The 10278-nt window shown below is 36.0% G+C and overlaps 1 protein-coding gene across 3 annotated transcripts in view; it reads left to right on the top strand.

Annotated features, from left to right (window-relative positions):
- RPAP3 (RNA polymerase II associated protein 3) overlaps nt 1–10278 on the top strand; it is a 44782-nt gene that overhangs the window by 1464 nt on the left and 33040 nt on the right. For 2 of the 3 annotated variants that reach the window (NM_001146075.2, NM_024604.3), the window contains exons 2-5: nt 1721–1879; nt 2963–3103; nt 6848–6970; nt 8164–8291. In NM_001146075.2, coding sequence (NP_001139547.1) covers nt 1727–1879; nt 2963–3103; nt 6848–6970; nt 8164–8291 — 545 coding nt within the window. In that variant the 5' untranslated portion in view covers nt 1721–1726. The remainder of the gene's footprint in view (nt 1–1720; nt 1880–2962; nt 3104–6847; nt 6971–8163; nt 8292–10278) is intronic. The other variant, NM_001146076.2, reaches the window with a different exon arrangement.

The raw sequence follows: 10278 nt of genomic DNA, 5'->3' as shown, positions 1-10278 counted from the left end.
GTCTCTACTAAAAAAAAAAAAAATACAAAAATTAGCCGGGCGTGGTGGCCTGCACCTGTAATCCCAGCTGCTCGGGAGGCTGAGGCAGGAGAATCACTTGAACCTAGGAGGTGGAGGTTGCAGTGAGCTGAGTTTGCGCCACTGCACTCCAGCCTGGGCGACAGAGCAAGACTCTGTCTCAAGAAAAAAAACAAAAACTCTGAATAGTCTTTTTATGACTAAATATAATGCACTTTCTTTCCCTCTGTGGCATTTGGCACTGCTAACCTCTCACTTTCTTCAACTCATTTTTTGTCATCTGTAACAGTACACTCTAGGTTTTTCTCCCAACTGTCTAGGTGCTACTGCCTACTTTTTTCTTCCTTGGCATCTCTTTCTCCGTTTAGTGTTCTCCAGGTTCACCCCATTCCCCAGTTGTCACAATGGTTAAACATGGCCACATCCTTGATTCTAGCTTCTACCTTTCTGCTAGTGACACCGGAATTTATCTCTATTCCTACATAGCTACCTATGGGGTATCTCTTCGCCCCATTAGCACTCAAATTCAGCATATCCCAAACAAATAATCTGACTTTCCGTTTGCCCTCCAACTTTGATGCCTCTTTTCCTTTTAACATTGTATTTCTTGACTCAAAATGGCATCAGTAATCTTACCGGGGTCCCAAGCCAGAAATCTAGGCCACTGTTTGAGTCTTTCTCTGTTCTCCAACACCTCAGTCTAGTCAGTCATCAAGTTCTTTTTATTTTACTACCTTGATATTTTCACATAACTTTCAGAATATAGGTTAGACCTCATGGCCTGCCATTTCAAGTCTGTCCCATGTCCACCTCTTTAATTTTCTTTTCCTTCATTCTCCCTCATAATTCCTCACTCTGCCTGCCCACTCCTCCCTGTTAGTCACTTGGCGGGCCCCTTTGAAATCCAGCTAAAGTTCCAACACCTCTGGGGACTCCTTCCGTGACACCACCACCCTACTATCTGATCCATGCCTATTTTTTGCAGTCAGTTCCATAGCATCTGTATGTACCTCTGACGCAGGGTTCTCAACCAGGGGTTATTTTACCTCTCAGGGAACATTTGGCAGTGTCTGGGATTCTTCGTTGTCACAATCCATGAGAGGAAGGGATAATCCTGGCACCTAGTTGGTAGAGGACAGAAATGTTGCCAACCCTCCTACAATGCACAGGACAGCACTCTTAAAATAAATTTTTTGGCCCAAAATGTCAGTAGTCCCAAGGTTGAGAAACCCTGCTTAACATATTTTGTTACTAGTGCTTTATATATTTTTTTCTTCTCCACTGCACAAGGGACCTTGTCTTGTTTTTGCATCCCTAAATCTTGATTCAGGGCCTTTCACATAGTAGAAGTTAAATGTTGGAAGAAAAAGAAATAAAGGAGGTAATCGCTCAACTCCAGAGATGAGCAGCCTGTCTGCTACCACAGGCTACCTGATAATTTCAGTGATTTTTCTCCCCATTACCTTTCTTTAATGTTGCCTTTCAAGGATGCTTCAACTTGTCTATTTTTCATTTGTTTATTCAGCAACTGATTTATTTTTAAAATATTATATTGATTTTTCTTTATTCAGCATCAGTTGGCTGTCTTCTGTCCATGTATCTTGGCCACTTATGAAGTGGTAAAAGATAATTAGCTAGCTTTCAGAAAAATAAACCAAATAGGCCTATTCTTATCAGAGGTTGGTTGTTCAAAACTCTGCAGACCATAATGACTTCAGCAAATAAAGCAATCGAATTACAACTACAAGTGAAACAAAATGCAGAAGAATTACAAGACTTTATGCGGGATTTAGAAAACTGGGAAAAAGACATTAAACAAAAGGATATGGAACTAAGAAGACAGAATGGTGTTCCTGAAGAGGTAAATTAAGAATTCGTAATTAAGATCCACCAAAACTAATTTTATAAAAATAAAGCATAACTTTTAAAAATGTTTTGTGAAAATACTGAAATTGAAGTGACTTGCTTCACTGTCAATTTTCTTTTCTTTTTTTTTGTGATGGAGTCTTGCTCTGTCACCAGGCTGGAGTGCAGTGGCGCGATCTCGGCTCACTGCAACCTCCGCCTCCTGGGTTCAAGCAGTTCTCCTGCCTTAGCCTCCTGAGTAACTGGGACTACAGGCGTGCACCACCACGCCCAGCTACTTTTTGTATTTTTTTTTTTTTAGTAGAGACGGGGTCTCATCATGTTGGCCAGGATGGTCTTGATCTGTTGACCTCAAGTGATCCACCCACCTCGGCCTCCCGAAGTGCTGGGATTACAGGCATGAGCCACCGTGCCCGGCCCACTGTCAGTGTTTTTAGAAATTCTGCTTTTCAAAAAGTCTTTGTAATAATTAAATATATTACCATATTTTAAGGCTTAGTGAGTAGTTACTGAAGGGATGATCATGTGATAATACTTAGAGGTAAATAAATGACTAGCATCATAAAATATGTAGAGGTGTGTGTGTATAAAAATAATATGTGTAGTTATATACTAATGATATATTAACATACCATATTGGCATAAAAATGCAGATAGTACCTAGGTTCAACCAAAAGTTTTTCTTAAGACTGCATTTAAATATGGCTGGGTTTTTCATACTGTACATAATATGGAGGCAGTTCAGTTTGTCTTTGCACTACTGCTGGTTCATCGTACTAAGGCTGAAGATAGGTCGTTTTTGAAGTTTGAATTTAGGATTGCAAATTAAAGGTATAATTAGAATTTCTAGGTAATACTTTTTTCTTGTGATTGAACAATGTTCAACACTCATCAAAGTATGAATTAAACTTTTAAAGTATAATTGTTATAAGTGAAGGTGGTAAATTGGTCTTTTTAAACACTTTAAAATTAAAAAATTCTTAGAAGAAAATATAGTGAGAATTTTAAACATAGCTAGTTATACAAAGAGTAACAGAGCATAATACTCACAACTTTGTGTTTTTTTTTCCCTCCTTAGAATTTACCTCCTATTCGAAATGGGAATTTTAGGAAAAAGAAGAAAGGCAAAGCTAAAGAGTCTTCCAAAAAAACCAGAGAGGAAAACACAAAAAACAGGATAAAATCTTATGATTATGAGGCATGGGCAAAACTTGATGTGGTAAGTTAATCTAGTCATTTGCTTCTTAATATTTGAGTAAAATTTTCTGGGAGTTAGCTGATAATCATGGGTTAAGTGAAAAATAATGTAGAGTTATGGCCTGTGTTTTTCTCTTATTCATGATTTTATGTGGAATAAACATTTAATGACATAGCTCTTTAGTTAATGAGATAATTTTTTTTTCTGCAATCCTCTTTCAGCAAATGGTGGCTAAAACAGCCAGGATTTTATTCTTTTTTCTTTCTTTTTACAAAAATTACTGTTTACTTATTACTATTTATTTATCCAGTGTGCTCTTCATCCAGTTTCCTCTGGTGGTTACATCTTTCTTAGCTGTAGTATACAGTATCAAAACTAGGAAATTGACATTGGTACAGTGTGTGTATGGTTCTGTGTTATTTTATCCCATGTGTAGGTTTGGATAACCCAGCCGCAATTAAGATACAGATATATGGCACCACCACAAAGATTCCCTTTGTGCCATCCCTTTATAGTCATACTGCTCCTCTCTACGCCACCTTCTCTAACCCCTAAACAGTCAGAATTCTAAGATACTCCCAGAAAAGAATGACTGTGCAGATGTCTTTGTCATAAACTGAAGGACCTGTAGAAATGTGCTAAAAGAGAATGCCTTTGTGTCTAGTCTTAGGACTGGGGCTGTGTGACGATAAACATAGGCCTATCTTGATCCTAGGAAGTTGGGCTTCTTTACCCTTCTAGACTGGGATAGCAGATATGTGTCCTCCCATCTCCCACATGTGATACACAACATACTTGGAGAATCACCATCAGTGCTCTGCCTTACAACCCTTTACCAGTGTTTCAAGCAGCCACTGTCGTGTCAGCCTGTGAAAGAGAACCTGTTGGCCAGCCCTATTCTGCACTGTGATCTACTTTAAGGGTTGATGTGGTTAGGGGTATGTATGTTGGGGGATGTGATAACCAACTGATGAATTTGGAATATATATTCCTCTTTAGTTTTTAAACAAGTGTTTATTACGTAATATTTGATTCATACCAAAGAATATGTAGAGATGTATGTTCTAAAGCATAGTAATAAAATGAATACATGAGCCTACCATCTAACTTAAAGAGAATTTTTCCAATATTATTGAAGCTACTGGTATGCTCCTTTCTAATCCCATGTTCTTTTCTCCCCTCTACTCCCAGAGGTAACCACTGTCTGATTTCTCTGTTTATTATTTTCTTTGCATTTTTCTGTTTAACATTTTTACTGAGGTATAATGTGCATCAAGTCCAAAAATCTTAAGTGTGCATCTTCCTGAATTTTTACTCAAGTGTACACCTGTGAAACCACTGTTTGGATCAAGATACAGAACATTCTGGGAGGCTGAGGCACGAGAATGGCTTGAACCCGGGAGGCGGAGGTTGCAGTGAGCCAAGATCACACCACTGCACTGCAGCCTGGGCCACAGAGGGAGACTCTGTCTCAAAAAAAAAAAAAAAAAAAAGAACATTTCCAGCCTCGCAGAGGCCTTCCTTTCAGTAGATGACCTCTGAAAAGTAGCCACTGTTCTGACCTCTTACACTGTAGATAGTTTTGGAATTTCATATAAATGATTATACCGTATGCATTATTTAAGTTTGGCTTCTTTTGCTGTCATTATATGAGATCCATATTGTGAGTAGCAGCAGTTCTTTTTCATTGCTGACCAGAATTCCATTGTGTGGATGTCTCAATTTTTGTGTCCATTCTCTTATTGATAATACTTTTGTATTGTTGGCGGTTTGGGGCTATGATGAATAAACCTGCTGTGAACATTCTTGTATTTGTCTTTTGGTGGATATAAGCACCCTAGAGGGGATTTGCTGGGTCATAGTTTATAAATACATGTAGTTTTAGAAAATACTGTCAAACAGTTTTCCAAATTATTTGTGTGGTATTTTTCTTAATAAAACTAAGGCTAATTAAAAGAGCGCTGGGACTTTTATTTAGTTTGCCATCTGCTTCAGGATTGTCCCAATATAAGAGAGGTAAAATTTTGAGTCTTGAATTTATCACTGTTGGAACTACTTTCTGAAAATAGAATTTATTCTCAAGTTCACGTAGCCTGTCTTCATTTTTTGTGTGTGTGACTTTTTGTTATATAGCCTGTTCCTTTTCATCAGTTGGTGTCTTCTTATAATGCCCTTTCCTGAAAGGCATCATCTCAGATGATTTCTTACAGAGATGTTTTCTACACTGGCATTTACTCATTCAACAGATATTGATTGAGCTCCTGCTGTATGTGGACAATGCCATCAAGATTGTACTGCATAGCTTGCAGTTGTCATTTTGGTGTCTGTATACAAGATATGGTTGTTTAATTCCCATTTCATTCTAGTTCAGATCTGAGCAGCTGCTTTAGTGTTCTGCTGCTGTTAGTTTTCTATACATGTCAGCATAGCAGGGTTGGATAATCCTGGCAGCAATGTTGGTAGGCTGGTGGTATTTCTAGAATCTTCATGCTAAAACACATAGCTAAATTTTAGTCCATGTTTCAATGTTCATTTAATGAAACTATGCATAATTTTTTTATTTTTATAAGCAATTTTTTTCCTACGTAAATAACTTTAGTGTTTGAATGCAAAAAGAATTTTGTTTACATAATAATTAAAGTTTGTATTTAAATGTGCTTTAATGAACTCTAATGGTCGTCACGGTGGCTTACGCCTGTAATCCCAACACTTTGGGAGGCTGAGGCGGGCAGATTGCTTGGGCTTAGGATCCAGACCAGCCTGGGCAACATGGCAAAAGCCCGTCTCTACAAAAAATAAAAAAATTAGCTGCGCATGGTGGTGCATGCCTATAGTCCCAGTTACTTGGGAGAGCGAGGTGGGAAGATGGCTGGAGCCCGGGAGATGGAGGTTGCAGTAAGCTGACATCACACTACTGCACTCCAGCCTAGGCAACAGAGCCAGATGCTGTCTCAAAAATAAAATAAAAATAAAATCTTACTAAAAATCATTGTTTTATCATATAAAAAATAAGAGGAAAATTCTGGTGGAGGTCTATGAAATTATTTATTACCATGAAAGTAGTGTGAGTCAAAAGAGATTGAGAATCGTGGGACTAGCACATTTTTTATTTTTCCTTTAGTAGAGGCAGCTATATGTTGGAATACACCGAGAGACAGTATAACATATCGATTGAGGGCTCTTGGAGGAAGTAGACTTGGTCACTTACTAGCTGAGTGACCTTGAATGAGTTAACTAACTTCTGCATTTCAGTTCCCTCAAGTGAAAAACATGGGTAATTATACCTTCCTCATAGGTTATTGTGAAGATTAGGAGTTAATGTGCTCTTTTTTTTGTTCGTTTTAAAATAGCAGTTTTAAAATAGCAGTTTTTTGTTTTAAAATAAGGAAGAAAAAAATTTTTTTTTAAACTTTTTCTGCTACTGGGTGCTAATTATATTAGTTTAGGGCTATTTGCAAACTTCCTTTAAGCCATAAGACCTAACTGCTAATAGTTCGTGATTTAGGGGTGATTTGTACAATCTGTTGACTTAGCTTTATGAGTTCAAAGTCAGATTTTTGGTTTTGATCTTGGTTTTCTAAGCTAAGGCATCTTTTTCTCTGGATATAATCTTAACAATGAGAGATTTGGGTTGCTTTGTAAGGCTGTAGGTCCTTAGATTGTAACAATTTACATTCATTTGAGTGTATTTTTTTAGTATGTCTTTTTTTCTTTTTTTTCCTAATCATATAATTATGACCCCTGTTTTCCGTCTTTTGATTTTAGGACCGTATCCTTGATGAGCTTGACAAAGACGATAGTACCCATGAGTCTCTGTCTCAAGAATCAGAGTCGGAAGAAGATGGGATTCATGTAGATTCACAAAAGGCTCTTGTTTTAAAAGAAAAGGTACTAATTAGTTAGGTTTTGTTTTTTTTCATGTAAGCAGGAGATGTTGAAAATCATGTGGATCGTAAAGTTTCTTGAGCATAGTTTTAGTACGTGTTTAAACTTTATGTTGTTTTTGGCTACATCCCTCTCTGGAGGCATTGTAACATGGTGGTTAGGAGTACATGCTCTGGAGCCAGATTACCTGGGTTCAAATCTCTGATAAGTTCTTTAAACTTCTGAACTTCAGTTTTCTCATCTGCAAAATGATAATATTACCAACCTCAACGGGTTCTTATGGGTAGTAAGTGAACTATTCTATGTAAAATGCTTGGACTGTACCTGGAGTTGTCCAGTGTTTTTAGTAGTAGATTGAAGTAACTTGAAATTAGTGTGTGATTCTTGGCGTAAATATTATATTCCACTCCCGGGTATCAAAGGCTATCTTTGGTTACTTTTTGGAATGTTCAGTATCTCCCTGAGGGATGCCTCATTATTATAAAACCAGCTATATTACTTTCACAAAGGTGGAACTCTTTTCAGATTAAACTCTTGATGCTTTTTTTTGGTTACATTTCTGTAGGTTGGCATTGTCAATAAGGAGTATAATGCTGGGTATTTTACTCATTTTTCTGCCTGGGCTCTTGGGTTGTACCCATACAGTGACCATGTACAGTTACCCTTGAACAGTGTGGGGTCAGTGCCTCATGCAGTAAAAAATCTGCATATAACTTTTGACTCCCCAAAAACTTAACTACTAATAGCTTACTGTTGACCGGAAGCAGTATGGATAATACAAATAGTTGATTAGCACAAATTTTATGCGTTATATGTATTATATACTGTATTCTTACAAAAAAGTAAGCTAGAGAAAAGAAAATGTTATTAGAACATTTTAAGGAAGAGAATGTGTATTTATTTATATAAATATATTTCACTGTGTAGAAGTGGATCTAAAGTCTTCATCTTTGTCATCTTCATATTGAGTAGGCTGAGGAGGGGGAAGGGGAGGAGTTGGTCTTGCTCTCTCGGGTGGCAGAGGCAGAAGAGGTGGAAAAGGTGGAAGGGGAGGCAGGCACACTTGGTGTAGACTTCTATTGAAAAAAATCTACATTTAAGTGGACCCATGCACTTCAAACCTGGGTCGTTCAAGGGTCAACTGTAGTGAATTTCAGAATTTGTAAAAAAGATCATTTTATATAATTTTCTTTCAGGGCAATAAATACTTCAAACAAGGAAAATATGATGAAGCAATTGACTGCTACACAAAAGGCATGGATGCCGATCCATATAATCCCGTGTTGCCAACGAACAGAGCGTCAGCATATTTTAGACTGAAAAAGTAAGGACTTTCTGTGACGTGTGTGAATGTGAATGTCTTATGTATATATGGAGACTTATTAAAAAAAAGTGTGGAATAAAGTGTGGAGGACAGATTGAAAATGTATTGCATTTTCTTTTCAACTGTAAATTCTTATAGCTCACTCCTTTTTATTGAATTATTTTGTTTAAGCCATTTTAAACATCTGGTGCTAAAACCTTGTTCCCATAGCTCACTTTACTGAGGTATTCCTCTAAAGATTTAGTAATAGTGTTCTTTTCTAATTCACAAAGCTAAAAAAGTTAGTTGGATATTTTTAGAAATTAATATCCTGTCATTTTGAAAAACCATTTATCCACTATTTAATCTAGAGAACATTTATTATGGAAAACTTAAAATATGTTTCAACATTTGTTTGTCTTTAAGTCATACTGACTTTTAAAGTAAATAATGTGGAAGAATATAAATGTGGTATTGTCTTATCACATGCAGGTAACCAACCTATCATAGGGGTTTTTTAAAAAGATAAACACCATCAAGGAAGACATTCTTACTGTTTTAATTATTTGGAAATACAAATTTTATTGGTATCTGAATTTTTACTATTTAACATTTTTATGTCTTTGAAACTCATGATATTAATCTCTAAAAATTAGGGGAATATTTACATTTTATAATATTCGATATCTGCAATATATGTAGCATATACATAAATTACAGAGAATAGTTTAAAATAAGCCTATAAAGCACCCCTCTCAACTTAAGAACCAGAACATTACCATTATTTTTGAAGTTACCTTGATGCTCCTTTCTGTATCCTGTCCCTTGCCTCCCTCCCAGTTAACCACTATCTTGAATTATATATTTGTCATCCTTTTGATTTAAAAAAGGTTTATTATATATGTATATGTTCCTAAATAATATATAGTATAATCTTGCTTATTTTTGAGCTTAAAAGTATATCATACTGTGTGTAGTTTTCTGTGGCTCACCTATTTATTATATTTTTATGATTCATTCTTGTTTTGATGCTTATAGCTCTAGAGCTCTCATTGTAACTGTTATATAGGATAATTTCTTTTTAGAAATATACCATTATGTGTCTATTCTTGTGTTGCTGGATTGTTGGTTCGTTCCTTTCTTCCTTTCTTTTTCTCTCTCCCTCCCACTCTTTCTTCCCTCCTTCTGTCCCTCTTTCTTTCTATTGCCCACCTTCTGTCCTTTCTTTCCTTATTTCAGCAATGCTATGAACATTTTTGTACATGTTTCTTGGTGTTGGGTCATAAAATGTGTAGATGTTCAGCTTCACAGGATGATGGCAAAGGTAGTTTGTTGTTACACAGTTGTTACAAAGGTAAATGGATGAGTTTACATTCTCATTAGCAGTGTATAATAATACCTATTTCCTACCCTTACCAACATTGATATAATTGGGCTTCTTAATTGTTTTCAATCTGGTGGGTGTAAAATGGCATTTCATTGTGTCTTTGAAATGACATTTTGCATTTCTCAGCTATTAGTAAGGTTTTCATTTCTCAACTATTAGTAAGGTTAAGCATCTTATATATTTTCCATTTTTGTTTTTTTCTTTTTTTTCCCTGTGAAATGCCTATTTGGTGTTTGGCCATTTTTTTTTTTAGGGCTTTTCCTATTGATTTATTTTGAGAGTTCTTTATTCTGGATAACTAATCTTTTGGTCTTTTCCATAATAACTATCTTCTCTCAATTTGTAGCTTATCTTCTTTATGGAATTTTAATGAATAGAAACATTCAATTTTAATATATTTCAACTTCTTGATTTTTTAAAAAGATTAGGACTTTATAAAATGATTTGTTCAAAAAAATAGTTTGCTGCTTGAGTTCCTAATAGTCTCCTCTAATTTCTTCTAAACATTTTTAAGATTTACTTTTCACATTTAGGTGTTTTCACATATGCTGAAGGTTTTTCCAGCTCTATTTTTGGAATAGCCCTACTTTCCCCCGTGGATCTGCCGTGCTACTATTGTCA

This window comes from Homo sapiens, chromosome 12 (genome assembly GCF_000001405.40).
Source record: "Homo sapiens chromosome 12, GRCh38.p14 Primary Assembly".
Taxonomy (NCBI): domain Eukaryota; kingdom Metazoa; phylum Chordata; class Mammalia; order Primates; family Hominidae; genus Homo; species Homo sapiens.
The sequence above is the reverse complement of the archived record's forward strand: the minus strand, read 5'-3'. Positions and strand labels throughout refer to the sequence as shown.